The sequence below is a fragment of the Homo sapiens genome, chromosome 12 (genome assembly GCF_000001405.40).
Source record: "Homo sapiens chromosome 12, GRCh38.p14 Primary Assembly".
Taxonomy (NCBI): domain Eukaryota; kingdom Metazoa; phylum Chordata; class Mammalia; order Primates; family Hominidae; genus Homo; species Homo sapiens.
The window spans coordinates 57,846,873-57,868,608 of record NC_000012.12 but is presented as its reverse complement, the minus strand read 5'-3'; the positions used below and the strand labels follow the sequence as shown (position 1 = coordinate 57,868,608).

Sequence of the window (21,736 nt, the reverse complement as noted above, 5' to 3'; positions counted from 1 at the left end):
TTTTCTCTCATGTAAACAAATCCAAAGATAACTAGTACAGACCTAGTTTGTGAGCTCCACCACCATCAGAGACCTAGGCCCCTTTCCCCTCACTGCCCTGCCATCCTCAGTCCTCAGCATGCTAGTCCTGGTCCCACGTGACTGCTCAAGCTCCAACATCATGTCCACATTCCAGCCATTAGGAAAAGAAGATGGGAAGAAGCCTCCCAGGGTGCATGCTAGTCATTGAAATTTCCCAGAAGCTGCCACACACGCAATAGATAACAATTTAGTTACATGGCTACACTTAGCTGCAGGAGAGGTTGGGAAATGTATGCTTGTCTTATATGGCCGTTTGTTTGTTGGGAGACAATGCTCCATGATTCTATTCCATTTCTACACATCTTGCAAGTGAGGCATTGACTGTCCTTTGTTCCAGATTATCATTTTCAGGATATAGTGTACAGCCTTGGAAGATCTACAATGTCTCCCTCCCAAAGGGGCAGGCATGCTGCCCCTTATAAAATATACGTGGACGGGCCGGGCACGGAGGCTCACGCCTGTAATCCCAGCACTTTGGGAGGCCGAGGCCGGCGGATCACGAGGTCAGGAGATCGAGACCATCCTGGATAACACGGTGAAACCCTGTCTCTACTAAAAAGACAAAAAAATAGCCGGGCGTGGTGGCAGGCGCCTGTAGTCCCAGCTACTCGGGAGGCTGAGGCAGGAGAATGGCGTGAACCCGGGAGGCGGAGTTTGCAGTGAGCCGAGATCGCGCCACTGCACTCCAGCCTGGGCGACAAAACGAGACTCCGTCTCAAAAAAAAAAAAAAGTATATATATACATGGACCATTCTAAAAAATCTGGGTTCCCTAAGTTCAGGGTTCCTGTCTTGAAATGCAATCCACTGTGTGTGCAGGCATCACCAGGCCCTTTCTGCAAAATCCTGTGGGAATTAGAGCTGATACTCTTGCTACTGCTGTTGCTGTGAATAATAAACTGTCCTTCATCTCTGACCTAGGAGTCTGGGCTTCTATCACAAGCTATGACACTGGTGGGCTAATTTGTTAGCTTGTAAGTAGGATAAAATCTCAGACCCTTTACAGTTCCTGACAGTGTTCAGCTAAGAATCGGGGTTTCTGCAGGAGTAGTTACTAGAAATCTACCATAGGCTTCTTCCCAGCTACTTGAGTTGGCCATACAGGTGTTTCCAGGTATCTGGATCCCTCCCACAACCAAACAGAAGGGAGTGCCTTCAGGTAAAACTCTAGTCACTTCCAAAATTATAGCAGGTCTCAAAATGCCTAAAGACAGTAGGAGTCGGCCACGCACAGTGGCTCACACCTATAATTCCAGCACTTTGAGAGGCCAAGATAGGAGGATCACTTGAGCCCAGGAGTTCAAGACTAGCCTGGGCAAAATAGGGAGACCCTGTCTCTTCCAAACAAACAAAAAAAAAGAAAGAAAATTAGCTAGGCATGGTGGCACATGCCTATAGTCCTAGCTTCTCAGGAAGCTGAGGTGGGAGGATCACTTGAGCTCAGGAGGTTGAGGCCGCAGTGAGCCATGATTACACCACTGTACTCCAGCCTGGGTGACAGGGTAAGACCCTATCTCAATTTAAAAATAAAAAGTAAAAAAAAAGACAGGGAGGTCATGCACCTGCTTACCTCCTTAGCTCTGAGTGTTCTCTAAAGAACCCCATGGACTTCCTTGTCTCCATCCAGTAGGACCAGGTGCAGGCCTTGGGATCCAGATTTATACCAGGTGCTACCAGAGCCAGCAGGCAGACCCAGCAGGAATCCCTTAAGAGCATTCTCAGGATATCCAGGGCTCGAGGTGTTTCCTGGGCCATCAGGACAAGGACAGGGAGGTCAATCCAGTGCCAGGGACTCTGCCTCCTGCCTCATTGCCAAGGGGAGAGACTCTACACAATGAAATCTGGATTACATACTAAAAGGCTTCAAACCCCTAAATGCAAGATGATGGCCCAGACTGAATCCTGAAACACAAAAAGGACAGGAGTGGAAACATGTGAAATCCAAATAAAGTCTGTAGTTTGGTTAATAGCATTGTTCCAATGTTAATTCTTCATTTTGACAAACGTACCATGGTTAGGTAAGATACTAATTTTGGGGGAAGCGGGGTGAAGAGTACATGGGAATTCTCTACACTATTGTTGCAACTTTTATGTACATCTAACAATTTTCCAAAATAAAAAGTATACTAAAATAAAATAAAGCTAAAAAAATTCAAGACCTAAGCTCAAGATTTAAGAGGCAGGAAAAGAAAAATATGAAGGGTGGGGCATGGTGGTGCATGCCTGTAATCCCAGCACTTTGGGAGGCCGAGGCAGGCAGATCACTTGAGTCCAGGAGTTCAATACCAGCCTGGCCAGCATGGTGAAACCCTGTTTCTACTAAAAATAAAAAAATTAGCCTGGCATGGCACGCACCTGTAGTCCCATCTACTCAAAGACTAAGGTGGGAGAATTGCTTGAACCCGGGAGTCGGAGGTTGCAGTGAGCCGAGATCATGCCACTGCACTCCAGGCTGGGGGACAGAACAAGACTCTGTCTCAAATATGTATGTATATATGTGTGTGTGAGTGTATATATGTATACATACATATATACACATACATCTATGCATACATACATGTATGCATACATACATGTATGCATACATATATATGTATGTATACACATACGTCTGTGTACACAGATGTATGTGTACATATATATATACACACACATACACACACACACATATGATTATTGTAAGTGTTTAAATTCAAAGAGCTGGGTTAGGTTAGGACCCCTCTTTTGGAGTTCACTATAAACTGTCCCCTTTTCATCGACAAAGAATTTCCAGGATTGGAGTAAAAATGGAAGCAAAGGAGCTCTCTGTATAGAGCGTCAGAGTGGGCGGTCAACCCGGACTAACGCCAACATCAAGGTCGGGTGAGGCCTGGCACCCGCTTGGTCTTTCGGCAATCCCGCCGGCGCTGCAGGAAGGGCAGGCTGGGGCCTGGGCTCTGCGGCCCCCCTCTCCGAGCTCGGCTCCCCGGGGAGGGTCTGGCGGCCGCGCTCCACTTAAACCCGGGGCGCTGCCAGAGGCCCCGGACACTCGGGCCGCGCCCCGCGAGGGCCCCAGCGCTGGCGGCCCCGCCTTGCCCGGCCAGCCGCCCTCGGAGGAAAAGCTGTTGCTCAACCCGGAGGAATGCGGGGCCGGCGCTCCGGCGGGGGAAGCGCGGGAGACTGCACGGCCGGCGGTGGCCGCAAACTTCGCCCCTCTGGACACTGCGGCTCCGGGCGGGAAAAGAGGGGCGGCCCCAGGCCGGGCCCCCAGCCCGGAGGTGGCCCAGCCAGAGCTCCCAACTTCGGGGCCGTTTAAAAACGGCGGCAGACGCAGGCCCGAGGGCCGAGGCAAGAACCTCCCACGGAAAGCTCCAAGGAGGCGGGGATTTCTGCCTCACTGTTGTGTTCGTGATTCATCTGCGGCGCCTGAAGAGTGTCTTGAACATAGTAGGCGCTCAGTAAACATTTTTGAAAGAATAACATAATCCCTCCCGGCCTCAGTTTCCTCCCGTCTACAGGAAGGGTTTGATCTCAGAGGGCCCTATCAACTCTGAAATTCTAGGATGCTGAGATTAAATCCCATGTGTACTACTGTGGTTTTGCTTTTAGTTTTTCGGGGACATTTTTAGTGCTACCCTTTATGATGTGCCAGGAGTGAATTTGACACCAGATGGCTTTTTTTTTTTTCTTAATAAGAAAGAAGACAAAGGGAGGGAGAAAAATATTTTCCAACTGGCAGTGCTGACAGCATTTTGGAAAAGAATCCAGGGAGGCAAAGAGGAGCTGTTTCAGCCTGATTCTGCCTTCTCCTGCACACTCTGCCACCCTGGCCTCCACCACAAACGAGGTAGATCTGAGTGGAGCTTTTTATGGATGAGGCAAAGGGAGCATCATTACAGAAGACTCCACCCCGAGTTAGCACTTGCTTTGTCCTCTGTGGCAGTCACAGCGAACTGGCCCCTGAGCCGCATGGTGGTGGATTCCAGCTATAGGCAGGGCTCTGGCTAAAGGCTGGATCTGGTGTTAATTAGAAGAACAGAGAGACACCTGGCAAATCAAAAGCTGGCGCTCCCTGCCTGGGGAACATGCAGGAAAAATAGCCAAAGTGGCAGTGCCTCTTCTGGAATTCCTCTTCTCTGGGATCCCAACTCCCTCTCATGGAAAGGCAGGGTGGAGAAGGGTTCCTTGCTCAAAATGACCTCTAGCTGAGTTTTTAATATGTCATGGCGCAGGGAAGGGAAATTCCTAGAATAAGACAATTTGGCAGTGTGCACAGGGGTGCCGACCAGGGATGCTGCAGGCAGTCTGCTTGGGTTCAAATCGTGGCTCCACTACTTACTAGTTGTTTGATAAGGATAAGTGACTTTATCTTTCTGTACCTTAGTTTCTCCAACTGTAAAATGGAATAATTAAAATTCCCACCAAAGGCAATTGTTGTGTGGACTGAATTAGATAATACAAGAAAAGTGACAGTGGTCTGCCTCTTCAAACAGACACTGGCACAAGGCAAGCACTCAATATTTTCTTATTTAAGTGACAGGACCCCCAAAACTAGAACCTTGTGCTGGACAGGTCTCAAAATGGCTGCCTGTGAAGAGCCCCACTGTGGTACTATCAACTTTGGGCAAAGAAGTCTCCATCCAGCTGACAGGTCCCTCCCTCCTCCTTCACATCCCCAGGAAACTGGAGGAAGGCCACACACGATGAGCAGAAATTATGTGTCAGGCTCCAACTTGATGGATCACCTCCAAAGGGATCTTGGAGGGAAGAAGGGAGTAGTGGGCAAGGAGAAGAGGACTGTTGGTGCCAGTTTGGGAGGCTGGGACTAATGCAGTAGATGGTATATAAACCAGTGCACTGTGTACCATAGGTGGCTTGTGATGGCCACCCATGGTCTATACCTCTGTTGAATGTCCTTGATTTTCTACTGATAAATTGTTTCAGATGCAGTGTTCTCGAATTTGACCAGCAAACTCCTTGAGGCCAAGTCTTGTCTTTCTGTCATGGTATCCACCCGACACAAACATGTCAAAGATGCTACTCACAAAGTAAAGACTTCAGAGGCGCTTATTGACTGGATGAGATGTTAAACAGGGGAGCAGATTGGAATTCCAGACTGCATGGGCAAGGGGAGACAGAGGCAGCTGGGCATGTAAGGATCAGAGGTGTGACTCATCTGCTGGCCCCAAGTATCCTCCCTCAAACCCACAGTAGAAAATCAAGTAGCAGATCTATTTATCAGTAGAAAATCAAGGACATCCAACCAAATTATAGACCATAGGTGGCCAGCACAAGCCACCTATGGTATATAATGCACTCCAAATATTCCACTCAAACCTCTCCAGCTTCCAGAAAGTCAGCAACACCAGGGTTCCCAACCTGTCCTGCCACAGGGGAGGTGATATCCATGCCAGCCCTGGGAAAATATATCTCTCCAGCTGCTCTGTCATTCCTGGCCTGCAGGAGCCTCCAAGGCAAACTTTGCTGCCATTTCTTTCCCTTTTCTGAATGGACATTGGACTTCCATTGCTGTAGTCAGGACAGAGCCCACAGTTGCCCTGAGATGTCTTCTGGAGTCCTCCTAAGTTTCTTCATGTGGCTGGCCCATCCCTGTACCCACAGGCTATGTAACCTGCGGCAGGTGCATTACATGAATGTTCAGTAAATATTAAAGCGAACTGAAGGCCCCCCTCGATGGCTCACGCCTGTAATCCCAGCACTTTGGGAGGCCGAGTTGGGCGGATCTCCTCTTCTTCAGAGGAGACTTTCTTGACCATCTTCTATCAAAATTAACTGCCCCCCGCCCCGCCAAATTACTTCCCATTATCTTATCCTGTTTATTTTGTTACTTACATGTTCATTGTCTCTCTACCCCACCCAGACTGAAAGTTTCCCTAAGAGCAGGGACCTCGTATTTCTGTCCATCACTGTATCCCACCCCCTTTCACAGTGCCTGGCATATGGCAAGTGTCTGCTTGATGAGTGGTGGCCTCCTTCTCCCTGAGTTAGTCCCCTTCTCTCTAACATTTTCAATCAGTTCTTTTCTATTAGGTAATTCTTCTGCCTTCAAAAATGCATCAGCTCCTTTATTTTGCAAACTCTTTTCATTTCACCCTTTAGCCATCAGCTTATTTTCCCATCTTTCGCCCCACCTGCTACCCAGGAAAAATAGCTAGCCTTCATGTGTCAGAACCTTTCAACTGAAAGCACAGAAGACCAACTAAAAGCACCTTACACAATGGGCAAGTATATTATTTTTTAGAGGCAGAGAGCATTAATTCCACCTTTAATAAAGTCAGCTTCTCTGTGATTCTTTCCGAAAACCCTGGCCTAGCGGGCTTCCCCTTGTGTGTCCTTGGCCAGCGCTGCCTCACATGCCTAAACCTAAACCAATCACTGGCACAGAGGCAGGAAGTGCCCTGGTTGGCTGAGACTCATCAACATTATCCCCTGTGGCTGAGGAGGGGGTCTCCTTCCTTGGGTACAGGGCACGTAAATTTCAGGACAAAATCAAGCCTTTACCAGCACAGAAGAAGGGTAGAGTGTAGCTGTTGAATCTATGAGCTGCCCAATAACCTTCCAATAAATTGTTTTTCTGCTTAAGTTAGCCAGAGTTGGTTTCTGTGGCTTGTAATCACAGAAGCCTGGCCGAGCTACACTCAGGGGCTGCCTGATGAGATGACAGGAGCAGCCTTCTCAGCCAGGAGGAGTGCTATCAGCAACATCTGTGAGGCGGCATAGAATGACCATATAGAAGCACACAGAAAATAGTCCCAGGACGTCAGGAAAAGACTGTGGAGTCATGCATGAGAGCTGAGTTATTACAGCTTAGAGTCAGAGGCTATGTATTTTAGGTGACTCATTGCGACTATACCCCCAGGCTATGTAACCTGGGGCAGGTGCATTACATAAATGTTCAGTAAGTATTAAAGTGAACTGAAGGCCCCTTTTGGTGGCTCACGCCTGTAATCCCAGCACTTTGGGAGGCCAAGGTGGGCAGATTGCTTGAGCTCAGGAGTTTGAGACCAGCCTGGGCAGCAAGGGGAAAAACCCTGTCTCTACCAAAAATACAAAAATTAGCCAGGCTTGGTGGTGTGCACCTGTGGTCCCAGCTACTCAGGAGGCTGAGGTGGGAGGATCCCTGGAGCCCAGGAAGTCAAGGCTGCAGTGAGCCGTGATTGTGCCACTGCTCTCCAGTCTGGGTGACAGAGCGAGACCCAGTCTCAAAATATAAATAAATAAAATAAAGTGAACCGAAGTGATCACCCTTCCTGTTTAAAATCTTAAGCCAGGCATGGTAGTCAGAACCTCTTGTTCCCGCTACTCGGGAGGCTGAGGCAGAAGGATCATTTGAAGGCCGAGTGCAGTGGCTCACACCTGTAATCTGAACACTTTGGGAGGCCATGGTGGGTGAATTGTTTTGAGTCCAGGAGTTTGAGACCAGTCTGGGCGACATAGCAAGACCCCATCTGTACTAAAAATACAAAAAAATTAGCTGGGTATGGTGGCATGTGCCTGTAGTCCCAGCTATTCAGGAGGCTGAGGTGGGAGAACGGCTTGAATCCAGGAGGCAGAGGCTACAGTGAGATTGTACCACTGCACTCCAGCCTGGGCAATAGAGCCAGACCCTGTCTCAAAAAAAAAAAAAAAAAAAAAGAAGGATCACTTGAACCCTGGAGTTCAAGGCTGCAGTGCTCTATGATCATGCCCGTGAATAGCCACTGCACTCCAGCCTAGGCAACATAGTGAGACCTCATCTCTAAAAACTAAATAAAATAAAATAGTATCTTTCCTTGGTTCCCAAGAGGCCACTCATCTAAACAACTGGCCTCTCCCACCTGCTGCCATTCTTTCTGAAGACTTGAACCATTATACCACTGCTTCTTCCCACCCCACCTCTTGCCCTCCTCAGGGACACCCTGCTTCATGGGTCTGCACATGAGCAGTCTCTCACCTCTGGAGCAGGAGACTCCATCATCACTCAGACCTGCCCCACTCCCACCTCTGAGACTCAGCCCTTCCTTCACTGACCTAGACCACCTTTCCTTTCTCCTCCTGGCTGCCCACTCCCACTAAGCCTGCTTTGAAGAACCTGGCCCAGTCCCTGGCACATCACCAACATCTAATCAGTGGCTGTCAATACTGTCTTGTCCTCTTCTGCTCCCTGGCCAATGGCCTGCCTCAAAGCCACTTCACTGCCCTCCTTCTGGCTCTAGAATGCCCCCATCCCCTCATGTCCTCCTCTGAGCTAGAAGCTGCTGCCCACTGCTCACTGTCTCCATCCCTGTTCCCTGCTGAACCTACCACTGATTCTCACAGTCTCACCTCAACCAGGCCTCACTGGGGCCCAGTAATCCTTTTCCTCTTGGGCCCTCTTGGGAGGACGGGGGGCAGGGGTTCCAAATCAAGTTCCCACAGCAGCTTTTCTAAGTTCCGGAAGCTTCTCTCCTCCCCTCCTCACCTTCCTCCTAACATATGGCCCACTTTCAGCCACTTTGTCAGCAAGAGTGTCTGGCACAAGCACCACCACTTCCACCTCAAGAAGACATCTCTGCCTTCTGGTCACAAGAGAGTGGAGTAAAGCCCCCTTCTCCTCTCAAAAATCACCCCCAAGATGATAAGGAAAATAAGAAACAGGAACCCAAAGTCCATCTTCAATGAAACAAGGATTTAGAATCCTGGCCCCCATCATATGAAAACAGAAAATGGATAGAAGAATGGTAAACGACCCCACAGAGTCCAAGAAGGGCAGACCAAAAACATTTGGAGGCACAGACCCACGAGAAGCAACCTGATTCTTCCCTTGGAAACCCAGGAAAGCTCGGGACTTGGAAGTAGCAAGTAAGACAGAAGGATAAGCAGGGGTCTAAAACTGAGGCAAGGTCTAAAACTCCAGAGATTGCTTGAAGATCTGTTTAAAGAGCAATTAGACTGTCAGGAACCCCAGCCATCCCCAGCACAATCAGGTAATTTAATGTGTCCCCTCCCGATTCCTGTAGGAGACAGGAAGATGTATTCTGGAGATATTGAAACAGAAAGATTCTGGACTTAGGGGTTGGGGAGGTGCAGGAAAAAGAGTGGGATCAAAGACTGAGGGAAAGTCGGTGACATGGTTTGGCTGTATCCCCACCCAAATCTCATCTTCAATTGTAGTTCCCACAATTCCCATGTGTTGTGGGAAGGACCCAGTGGTAGATAAATGAATCATGGGTGCAGCTTCCCCCATACTGTTCTCATGGTAGTGAATAAGTCTCACGAGATGGGATGGTTTGATAAGGGGTTTCCGCTTTCGCTTGATTCTCCTCTCTCTTGCCGGCCACCATGTAAGAAGTCCCTTTGCTATTCCTTCATCTTCTGCCATGATTGTGAGGTCTCCCCAGCCATGTGGAACTATGAGTCCATTAAACCTCTTTCCTTTATAAATTACCCAATCTTGGGTATGTCTTTATTAGCAGTGTGAGAACAGACTAATACAGTCGGCATCTGAACAATAACACCCGGTCTCCCTGCCACACACCTCTCTAATTCCCACACTATAGCTGGCTCTAGAACTCTGGGTGAGGGGCTTGTAACCTTCAAGCAGGAGACGAAACTAGATCATTCTTTTCTGGAAAAAAACAAAATGTGACAGAGAAAAAGCCTATTAACACTGACAATTGATACCCTCCAATGAAGGAGTCCAGCCAGCCACTTGATTGCCCTACTGTGAGCCCACAGGGAGAGCTTCCAACCGGATCTCTAAAGCCTCCCTCTCAACAGGAGTGGACAGCCAAGGAACACCAGACCTCTGAAGAAAGCCTCCAGCATGATGCAAATCAAAACACAGGGGGAAGAAAAATTCAAGTTAATATCCTCAGAGAGATAATTCATGTGTCCAAAGGACGTGAAAACTATTTCTTAAAAAAAAAAAAAAAGTAAGAGGCCAGGTGTGGTGGCTCACATCTGTAATCCCAGCACTTTGGGAGGCCAAGGCTGGCGGATCACTTGAGGTCAGGAGTTGGAGACCTGCCTGGCCATCATGGTGAAACCCTGTCTCTACTAAAAATCCAAAAAAAAAAAAAAAAAGTTAGCCAGGCGTGGTGGTGGGCACCTGTAACCCCAGCTACTCAGGAGGCTGAAGCAGGAGAATCACTTGAACCCGGGAGGTGGAGGTTGCAGTGAGCCGAATCACACCACTGCACTCCAACCTGGGTGACGCAGCAAGACTCAGTCTCAAAAAAAAAAAAAAAAAAGAAAGAAAGGAAAAGAGGGCAGGCACCGTGACTCACACCTGTAATTCCAGCACTTTGGGAGGCCGAGGTGGGCAGATCACCTGAAGTCAGGAGCTCAAGACCAGCCTGGCCAACATGGTGAAACTGTGGCTCTAATAAAAATACAAAAATTAGCCGGGTGTGGTGGCAGGCACTTGTAATCCCAGCTACTCAGGAAGCTGAAGCAGGAGAATCGCTTGAACCCGGGAAGCGAAAATTGCCATGAGCCGAGATCACGCCATTGCACTACAGCCTGGACGACAGAGTGAGACTGCATCTCAAAAAAAAAAAAAAAAGAAAAGGAAAGAAAAAGAAATGCTGGGCATGGTGGTACATGCCTGTAGTCCCAGCGACTTCAGAGGCTGACGTGAAAACATCACTTGAGCCCAGCTCTGGGCTGTAGTGTGCTATGCTAGGATCAGGGAATCACCAGCTTGCCTAAGAGGGTAGAAGGAACCAGTTCAGGTCGAAAATAGAGCAGGTCAAAACTCCCATGCTGGCTGGGTTCGGTGGCTCATGCCTATAATCCCAGCACTTTGGGAGGCCAAGGCGGGCAAATCACTTGAGGTCAGGAGTTCGAGACCAGCCTGGGCAACAGAATGAAACCTCATCTCTACTAAAAATAAAAAAATTAGCCAGCCATGGTGGTGCACACCTGTAGTCCCAGCTACTTGGGAGGCTGAGGCAGGAGAATTGCTTGAACCCAGGATTGCAGTGAGCCGAGATCGCGCCACTGCACTCCAGCCTGGGCGACAGAGCAAGACTGTCCCGGGAAAAAAAAAAAAAACTCCCATGCTGACCAATAGTGTGATCATACCTGTGAATAGCCACTGCACTCTAGCCTGGGCAACGTAGTGAGACCCTTTCTCTTTAAAAAAAATTAACTTAAAAGAAAGAAAAGGTAGAGAACATGAAAGCACTCTTGAAAATTATATAAAGAAAAAATAAAAAGAGTAATAACAATATACTTAGCAAATAGATTAGGATATAACATAGAGGATACCTACCAGAAAACAGAACAAAGGGATGGTTAATAAGAGAGAAATAATACGAAAATTAGAGGATCAATCCAAGGAGCCTAGCATCCAAGTAATCAGCGATGCCGAAGGAATGAACAGGAAAAATGGAGGAAGAAATGTCAAAGAAATTATAAAGCAATTCCCAGAACTAAAGTACATAAATTGTTTTGGGACAGAGGTTCTTAAGCTTTAGCATGCATCAGAATACCTGGTAGGCTAGTTAAAGCACGGATGGCTGGGCCCTATCACCGGAGTTTCTGATTCAGTAGGTGTGAGGTGGGGCCCCAAGTTTGCATTGCTGACATGTTCCCACAGGTGATACTGATGCTGCTGGACTGGGGACTACACTTTAAGAACCACTGTATTAGATTTCAAGAACCTGACAAGTACCCAGAAAAATGAATGAAAAGCAACCCACAGCAATATACTGTGACATTTCAAGATAGCCAAGATAAAAGAAAACAATCCTAAAAGTGGGGGTTGGGGGGAAGGGCGGAGGTGAATTCAAAGTCTCAGAAATCAAAATGGCAAGAACTTCTGAACTGCAAAATTAGAAGCTGAAAAATAAAGGAACAATGTCTTCAAAATTCTGAAGGAAAATTATTTTCAACTTAAAATTCCATACCCAGCCAAAACTATCAATCAAGTGTGAGGATGGAATAAAGCCATTTTAAGTAACACGAAAGTCTAAAATGTTACCTCCCAGGCACTCTTTCTCAGGAAGCTACTGGAGGATGTGCTTCACCAAAACAAGGGAGTAAACCAAGAAAGAAGAAAACACTGAGTCCAGGAAAGAGGACAAGGGCAAAGGTGATGCGAAACCCAGGATGACAGGTGTACCACAGCCCAGAGGGCAACACGTCCAGAGGAAAGTGCAAGGATGGGGCACCCCAGGACAAAAGTCTCCAAGGGAAGAAGAGAACCAGTAAGATTATATGACAGGTTTGGCCATATGCAAAATTGTACTGAGAGGGCGTTTTACAGAACTGTTGAAGGGTGTGGGAAGACAGAGCCAGAGATTCAAAGAAAAAACCAAGCAAATTAAAAATGAGGCAATTAACTCCAGAAAAAACAAAAAGGTTGTACAAGGAAGGAAATATAAACAGAGTATATGACAAAGTTATTTAGAAAAGGAAATGTAACCAGAATACTTGCCTCAAGAATAAACAATATTTACAAATTCAATAATGAAATCACTGAATATGGATTTAACTATATATTATGATATAAACATAATGTGAGTGGTGTCTCACGTGTCCGTATGAAGAGACCACCAAACAGGCTTTGTGTGAGCAACAAGGCTATTTATTTCACCTGGGTGCAGGCGGGCTGAGTCCAAAAAGAGAGTCAGCAAAGGGTGGTGGATTATCATGAGTTCTTATAGGTTCTGGGATAGGTGGTGGAGTTAGGAGCACTGTTTTGCGGGCAGGGGGTGGATCTCTCAAATACATTCTCAAGGGTGGGGAGAACTACAAAGAACCTTCTTAAGGGTACGGGAGATTACAAAGTACATTGATCAGTTAGGTTGGGACAGAAATCAATCACAGTGGTGGAATGTCGTCAGTTAAGGCTATTTTCACTTCTTTTGTGGATCTTCAGTTGCTTCAGGCCATCTGGATGTATACGTGCAGGTCACAGGGGATATGATGGCTTAGCTTGGGCTCAGAGGCCTGACAAGTGGGGGAGGTGAAGAAGCGAGTAGAGAATCAAAATCCTCCACTACCAAGACAAGAAGTCAACAAATTAGATGAATCCAGAATGGCAGTACATATACTATTTAGAAATAAGAGGCCAAGAATGGTGGCTTATGCCTGTAATCTTAGCACATTTGGAGGCTGAGGCGGGTGGGTCACCAGAGGTCTTGGGTTTGAGACCAGCCTGGCCAACATGGCGAAACCCCGTTTCTACTAAAATTACAAAAATTAGCCAGGTATGGTGGTGTGCGCCTAGAATCCCAGCTACTTGGGAGGCTGAGGCAGGGGGAATTACTTGAACCTGGGAGGCGGAGGTTGCAGTGAGCCGAGATAGCACCACTGCACTCCAGCCTGGGTAACAGAGCAAGGCTCCGTCTCAAAAAAAAAAAAAAGTAGAAATAAGGAAGGAAATACCAGAAAAAAAACAGCTGAGAATTGAAAGCAGTTGACCCTAGGGACTAGGATAAGGGCTGGGAGAAAAGCCGGGGGGACTTCTGTTTGCGTTACAAGTCTTTTAGCACTATTTGATTTTTCAGCTATGTGTATGTATTATCCTGATAAAATAAATACTGATTTTCTAAAGCAACTATAACTCTGGTGCCACAATCTCCACTACAGCACACCTGCAGGACTGTGTGGACCCAAAGGAGCAGGAATTCCTCCACCCTCACCCTGTCTGGACAGGTATTATTCATCACCAGCTTAACCCTCTTCCACTCACAAACGCAATTTCTCCATCTCCTCCTGTTCCTGTAGCAGCCATCAACTGGGTGGCTGTACTGAACTATAAGTTTCTAGAGGTCAGGCACAGTGGTTCACACCTGTAATCCCAACACTTTGGGAGGCCAAGGTGGGAGGATTGCTTGAGCTCAGGAGTTCGAGACCAGCCTGGGCAACACAGAGAGACCCTGTCTCTACAAAAAAATTTAAAAATTAGCCAGGTGTGTTGGTGCTCACCTGTGGTCCCAGCTACTTATGAGAGTGAGGTAGGAGAATTGATTGAGCCCAGGAGGTTGAGGCAGCAATGAGCTGTGATCACATCACTGTACTCCAGCCTGGGCAATGGAGGGATAGCCTATCTCAAAAATTAATTAATTAATTAATTAAAAGTAAGTGTCTACAACATGCCTTTAAGGCTTTACAGGTACTCACAGTGCCCCTTACCTGGAAGGCTAGCTTTCCCTCCTCTTCTCCCTTCCAAATGCTGAACTCTAGTTTATACTTCAGATAACATTTCCTCCATAGCTGTTGCTCTCCCCACTCATCTGAGCTATCCCCACTTTGCCCTCCCCCTCTCCCTCCTCGCACTCCTCCCCTTCTTCCTCCTTCCTCCCCTTCTTCCCCTTCCCTCTGCTCCTCCCCGCCCCCTCCTCCTCTGTTTTCCCTGCTGGAGCCTTTAGCACTTTGTATCATAACTGCCCCTCACTGTTAGACTGTAAGTTCCATGAGGCCAGAAACTCTGTCTTATTCACTGTAGGCTCAGGACAGGGCCTGGTGCATGGTTAAGGAGTCAGTAATTATGCAAATAGATGAATGCATGACTCACTTTTAGTAAGGGCTCAAAAAGGATTTGAGTGAATTAATTAGTCACAAAAAATGCAGGCTCCCCCTCAATATTTAAAGTCTGCCTCTCTCTGCCATCTCCATTCTACCATCTACTCTCCCTCTTTCCTACAAGGTCACACCCTCTCAAATAAGTTGGCTGTGGCCAGTGCTCCACTTCCAATTCATTTACTCCTGCCTCAACCCCATAAAGAAGCCAGGGCCCCTTCATGTGACCAGGGTCAGCTCCAGTACAGGGCTTAATTTTTTTTTAAGAGATGGGTCTTGCTCTGTCCCATGGGCTGGAGTGCAGTTGCCCCATCATGGCACACTGCAGCCTCAAATTCCTGGGCTCCAGCAATCCTCCTGCCTTAGCTATGGTGGCTGGCTTTTCCAGGGCTTTGCTAGCTATCTGAGTTTGTACTATACTGGAATGAGCTGCTTGGGGAATATCTGTCTACCCAGTTCTGAAGGAAATCAATCCTCTCTCAGTTTCCCTTTCCCTAGGCCCAAAGTACAGCTCTCAGAGGTCTAGGACCCAGGCTCGACAGAGGGTACCCAGTTAGCTCTGGACTTTGGCCTGCTTGACAAGGATAGATCTTGGCCTAAACTAAGTGGCTGGCCCTTCCCAGTCTTCTCACTTTCCCATCCATTTTGCAGGCCAAGAGTTGAGATTCTAGTCCTTCAAGTTCACGTGCCCCGGTGACTCCCAGCCAGTGTCTTCGAGTAGGATGGGTATGCAGTCTGGGCTGGGGGTACAGGGAGGACTGGAGGACCGCTTAGCACCGCAGGCGCTGGAGGGTGAAAACCTGCCTTGCCTCCCCACTGAGTTCTTGAGGCCAGAACGAAGCTGGCCCCCGGGAGGTCTCGGGAGAAGGGCCCCCAATCTGTTGATCACTGAAAGACCTCAAGGCCGCCCGCCCCGGTCAGGGCGGTCCCCTCCCCACCCCCACCACGCCACTTGACCTCAAAGAGCCACCCGGGCTTTGGAATACAGCGACCTAAGCTGTGCCCCCAAAGGGGCCAGCAGGCGGCGGGGAAGGGAGGGAGGGAAGGGCGGAGAGCACCCGGGCTAGGGGATTGGAGAGGTGGGGGTGGGGCACAGGAGAGGCCCCTTCTTTCCTTTGCCCACTGCCGGAGCAGGGAGGAGCGTGGGAAGAGGGAGGTTTGGTCTGTAAATAGGGAACATGTAAATACCGGCCGGGAAACTCGATCGGGTCTCGTCGCTTCCCAATTTAGGAGAAGGGCTGGAGCTAGGCTTTCAGTGGCTGCTTGGGGCGCAGGTCACGTGGCCGCCCAGGACCGGAGGGTGGGGCGAGGCTAGGGGGCTGCTCCCGATGTGGGTAGAGGGGAGGCAGGAATCCCGGCCAACCTCGCCGGCTCTGGCCCCCAGTAGTTATTTTTGTCCTTATGGCACACTTCCCCAACACTGACTGTGGGGGTGGGAAGGTCGGGGGGCTGCGCTGCTCCGGATTCATCCGCCCCAGGCGCTTCCTGAATGCTAAGGCAAGGTGTGCCTGTGGGTTTCTCCAAGCCTCAGTTGGCCTCGGTCTTGTTTCATCTGACTCCTGGGCGGCTTGCTGCTGCCTGGGGTGATGGGCAGGGTGCTGGCAGGCTGTGCCCTGAATTGAAACTCCATCACTGACTGGCTTGTGGAGAAAGTGCCTAGGAGGCTGGCATCCCGCCTCCCAGGCTCAGTGCCCCAGGGAGATCAGCAGTGCCCAGAAAGGAAGGTGCCCGCTGGAACTGGTTTCCAACAGAGCACTGTGTGCCAGGCTCTGTGAGAGGCATTAGGGGTGCGCAGAAAAAGAGACAGCGCCTGCCCTGAAGGAGCTTACACTGCAGTGGGGGAACAGACAAGTAAACCAGAATGAAAATACAGGCGCTCCAAGAAGCTTCTAAGTCAGACTGGGACCTGGGAGGATTTGAGGAAGAGGTGGCACTTGAATTGTATCTTCAAGGATAAGGAGTTAGCTCACAGAGGAGGGGGAAAGGGCATCCAGGCAGAGAGAACTGCCTGTGCAAAGGTAGGGAGGCATAGGACGTCAGTAACAGGATCCCAGGCATTTAGTTCCTCCTGACAGGAGCACAGGGGGCTGTGGGGGAAAGTGCTGGAGATGGGGTGGGCAGGCTGACTAGGAGATAGATCTTGGGGACCATGGGTGCCCAGCTAGGCATCTAAGCTTCCTTCTGGAAGTCTCAGGGAACTGCTGAATCATTCCATACAGACAGGATCAGGACAAGACAGAGTCAGATTTGCATTTTCTAGGAGAGCTGGGAATGGATTTGAATTTGGGATGTAGAGAATGAAAAAGGTTGATGAGAAGCCTGTTGCCAACCTCCCCTGACACAGCAGCCAGTCATGCATGCGAATGGAAAGAAGGAAAAGGCCTGACAAACCTTTGGGAGTGGAGGAGCCATTGGTTTTCAGGACTGATAGGGGGTAGGCATGAGTTAGGTGGGAGAGAATTGGGTGACCTCAGGTTTCTGGCTTGGGGAACTGGGCAGATGATGGATGCAGAAGGAACAGCTTTGGAGGAAAGGAGAATGATGATGATGAGCATAGTGTCTATTAAGCACTCAGTGTTTCAGGCATAAACACTTCATACATCATCTCATTTAATCCTCACAATAACTTACAAAGTAGGTACTATTGTTCGCTCCATCTTAAGGGAAAACTGAGTCAAGAGGTTAAGTAATTAAGCGGTGGTGTTGGAGTGATGAGCATGCCTGCACCTTGCAGGCAGTGAGGTTTCCCACGCTGTTGCACAGAGGAGCTATCCCCGCTACCACTAGCTCCTCCCTCCCTCTGCAGCCCTCAGCATCTGGCACCCTCACAGCAGTTCAGTCATTAGCCACTGGGTCTCTCTCCCTCACCCCACCCCATCTCAGCCCCGATACTCTGCCCTGGGAAGCCAGGACAGGACCATACCATACAAGCCTTGTGACAGGAGGGCACCAAGCTCTGGAATCTTGGCATTGACATCCACCTACTCATGAACAATACAAAGCAGAACTGAGACTGCAGGGACAATCAGAAAAACCAAGAAAATCAATGTGTTCCTTTTTTTAAAAAAAAAGTTTTTAAGAAAAAAAGTAATATTTCAGTGACATCAGAGATAATCATGAAAGGTCGGTAGCCCAACCTTGTACTTATTTTCTGTGGGGAAAAGGGCAATTAGGCATCTCCCATGGAGGAAGCTCCTCCAGCTGTTTCCCTTTCGCCAGCCTTGGCTCGGGACACCCAGTCCGACTTCAGTAGCCACAGCAGGAGACAGACAGGGACAGCCACTCCATGTTTGCCCCACATAGCCCCCCATTCTAGCATTTGGGGGTAATGGGGACACTGCTGTTGTTTCCAAATTGCCTCTTACCAACCATGCAGTCAGAGAGGCCAGAGGAAAGGGGATACAGCAGGTAGGGAACCAAGTGAGAGTCAGTGGGCTTTCTCCTGGGAGAGTTGTTAGACCTGGCTTCAGCTATCTCCCTTGAACCACCTAAAATGAACCACCTAAAGTTACACAACCAGCAACTGGCCCAGGCCCCGTAGGCAGGATGTTATTTTTGAGGCTATTTTAGGCAGAAGTTAGAAGGTCCACTTGCCTCCCACCACCCTCACCACTTCAACTATAGGAAAGAGGCCCACCATGACCCTACAGAGCTTTCCAGAGTGCAGACCTTTTCCTAGTCATCTGTGGACAGAGCAGTGAGAAGCCTGTGGCATCAAGAGAGCAAGCCCCACCTATGTTTGGGGTTCCAGGCTCCAGTAGCGCCTCCACTGCTTTTGTAGTCTCTGGAAGCACAGGGGTCCTCACCAGGCCTCTTGGGAACTGCCCCTCCTCCCTCATTTACCCCTCCTTGCTGGGTTCTATTTGTACCCTTGTGCCTCTGGCCTTGGAAGGGGTTCTATCTGTTATACATAAATTTTTCTTTGACCTCAGAGCAAGAAATGCTTGAGGACCATCTCCTCTGCATCTTTCAGGGACAGCCAGAGCCCTGAGACACACATGAAGGCATCTACTGCATCCAGGAGTGAAAGTAGCATTGTTTTAACACTGGGTCACAATCCGGTGGTGGTTTGTGAATTCAATTTAAAAGGTCATGGCTGGCACCTTAAAACCATCAAATAGAACACAATACGTGCAATAGAAAATATGAGTGTGCACACATAGCCAGGGTAAGTATTGTCCATGAAACTTTTGTATCATTTATCTCACAACATAAAATGTGTTTCTTGCTGTAGGTCACTGAACAAATCCCTGGACAAAAGAACACTGGTTCAGACATAAAGTCAAGGCCAGGCATGGTGGCTCACACTGGTAATCCTAGCACTTTGGGAGGCCAAGAGGCAGGTGGATCACCTGAGGTCAGGAGTTTGAGACCAGCCTGGCCAACATGGTGAAACCCCATCTCTACTAAAAATAGAAAAATTAGCTGGGCATGGTGGCAGGTGCCTGTAATCCCAGCTACTCAAGAGGCTGAGGCAGGAGAATTGCTTGAACCGGGGAGGCGGAGGTTGCAGTGAGCCAAGATCACGCCACTTCACTCCAGCTGGGGCAACAGAGTGAGACTTCATCTCAACATGTACAAGTCACCTGTTCTGTGTTAGGCACTCTGCTAGGCACAAGAAATCCAGTAAAGAATAAGACATCCCCTAGTCTCAATCCACCTTCTGGTTGGGAAGCCAATAAGCACACAGTTGCAAGATAGGGTGCCAAGTGGTCTGAGAGAGTATGTATGAGGCTATAAAACCCTGACATGAGGGCGGGCATCTGGGAGGGCTTCCAGGAGAGGTGATGCAATTGGAGTTCACAGCAGGAAAAGAGAGCGATAGGTTCTAGTGTCTCCTCCATCCTATAGATAAGAAGGGAACTATGTTAAAGTGTCAAGGGTTCTAGTCTTAAAGTCCAAAGACATCCTGTCTCCTCTTCTTAACAAGCTGTGAGGTCTCAGGTGAGTCAATTAACCTTCCCAGACCAATTCCTCATTTACAAAACAGGCATCTATAAAAATGGGCATAATATCTGCTCTATCAACCTCAAAGAAGTGAGAGATCAAATGAAATAGATAATATATGTGAAAGTACTTTGTAAATTACAAAAGGGGAGGTATTGTCTCTATGGATGAGGAAATGGAAGCATAACGAAGTGAAGTGTCCTGCCCTACAGTGCTATGGGTAGCAGGCCCCTCTAAATCCTCAGTCCTCAGCTCCTGCCTGCATTCCTCCCACTGCAACTAATCTACCTTAGAAGAGGGCAGGGGAAGGGTCTAAAAAGGCCCCCATAGCAACCTGACTATTGAAGATTTACCTTAAAGATCCTATTGTTTTAATGATGGGAGGTGGGTATGTCAGAACTCCTCCGTTTCCCTTTCTGTTAATGAATTAAGATCTACCCAAATTCAGTGTTTAAAGTTACATAAGCATCATTCAGATCTGTAACAGCCACTTTCATTTTGGAAAAACAGCATTTCCATTAAAATGATGTTATATAAAAAGGTTTTGTATACGTGCGTAGGAACAGCAGAAACAGGCACACATGATCACTGTATGGCACACAGGCATATGCAGATCATGACCTCACCTGTCCTCATGAGGAAGGGACCATAGGAAGCAGGTGTCTGATAGTACCTGGCAAGCTTAGCTGTGACCTAGTTGTCCTCTAATCATCAGTAAGACCTGATGCATGTTGGGCAATGGGAACTGCAGCAGGAAGGAAGCCCCTTCCTTGGCAGGGTGAGTGCCACTGAATCACAGAATATTGGGGTTGGATTTAGCTCAGAAGTCACCCAGTGCAATCTCACTCTACACCACTCTTGCCGGCCTTGACTTGAACAGCTACCATTGTCCCAAGGCAGCCCATGTCACCTGTGGACAGATGTAGATCACTGGAAAAGACCTGATATTGAGCTGAAACCAGCCTTTCTGGAGCTACCACCGCTGGGGAACAAAAGCACCCACAACCTTGAGCAGAGACTCCAGGAGCTGTAGCCAGCGGAGCGTGCCCCGAGGCCTAAAGAGCAAGTGGGGAAGGCAGCCTGAGTCCACAAAGCTGAAGCTCCTCCGAGAGACCTCCATCCATCTAAAGGAAGCTGGGACTGTGGGGGCAAAAAGAGAGGGGTAGGATGAGGGAGGTAGGGAGGAGGGGCGGAGTCGGGGCCGCCTAAATGGGAGTAAGTCGGTGGGTGTGAGGAAAGCCCAGCACCTCAGGTCTCATTTTCAGTGTTTTGGGGGACACAGTCCCGAGGTCAGTTCCAGCTCTTATACTCTGGAGTCCTAGGTCCGCCCACACGCACACACCCCTTTCGGGATTCGAAGGTTGTACTTTTTTTTTTTTTTTTTTGAGACAGAGTCTCGCTCTGTCGCCCAGGCTGGAGTGCAGTGGCGCGATCTCGGCTACCTGCAATCTCCGCCTCCCGGGTTCAAGCAAGTCTTTGCCTCAGCCTCCCGAGTAGCTGGGATTACAGGCGCCCGCCACCACGCCCGGCTAATTTTTTTGTATTTTTAGTAGAGACGGGGTTTCACCATCTTGGCCAGGCTGGTCTTGAACTCCTGACCTCGTGATCCACCCACCTCGGCCTTCCAAAGTGCTGGGATTACAGGCGTGAGCCACCGCGCCTGGCCTCGACGGTTGTACTTTTATGTGACTTGGTACGTCCTTGATTCTAGGGCTAAGCAGGGGGGTAAGGTAACTTCCGATCCGCCCCATCCCCTGCTGGAGTCAGGTTAGGCTTAGCGGCTTGTCTTGGTCACCCCTGAAGGGGGAAACCTTTCCACCTTCCCCGAGTGCGCCCTCCGAGAAAAGAACACCCCAGCACAGAGCACCAGAACGTGAGCTTCGGAGCGGCCTTTTAAATAGTTGGGAAGGGGGTGTGGCCGAGGAGACTGGGAGGCCGCAGTCTGGCGCGGGGGGAGTGGCCCGGGGGCGTGGCCGTGGCGCCTGGAATGTTGTTAGGTCCTCTCACCGCATAGTAAGGAGGGGCCACGCCCCTTTTCTCCAAGAGAGCCAATCGGAGCACCGGAACGGTTTCAAGTCTCCCCCGCCAGCCTGCCCGCCCGCCACCCCACCCCCCTTGAGGATTCGCTTTTTCCGTAACAAAATAGCAAAGCTCCCGACTGTCCGCAGCCCCGGCCGCTCACAGATGGAGGGTCCCAGGGCCTAGGACGCAGCCCC

General features: G+C 49.1%; 3 annotated features.

The window, feature by feature from the left end:
• Positions 3,034 to 3,393: a silencer, noted in NCBI's record as "silent region_4599". NCBI's record gives its function as "represses an Ori minimal core promoter by ATAC-STARR-seq in GM12878 lymphoblastoid cells {active_cell/tissue: GM12878}" and the evidence as "EXISTENCE:reporter gene assay evidence [ECO:0000049][PMID:35858748]".
• Positions 21,399 to 21,578: a silencer, noted in NCBI's record as "silent region_4598". NCBI's record gives its function as "represses an Ori minimal core promoter by ATAC-STARR-seq in GM12878 lymphoblastoid cells {active_cell/tissue: GM12878}" and the evidence as "EXISTENCE:reporter gene assay evidence [ECO:0000049][PMID:35858748]".
• Positions 21,649 to 21,728: a silencer, noted in NCBI's record as "silent region_4597". NCBI's record gives its function as "represses an Ori minimal core promoter by ATAC-STARR-seq in GM12878 lymphoblastoid cells {active_cell/tissue: GM12878}" and the evidence as "EXISTENCE:reporter gene assay evidence [ECO:0000049][PMID:35858748]".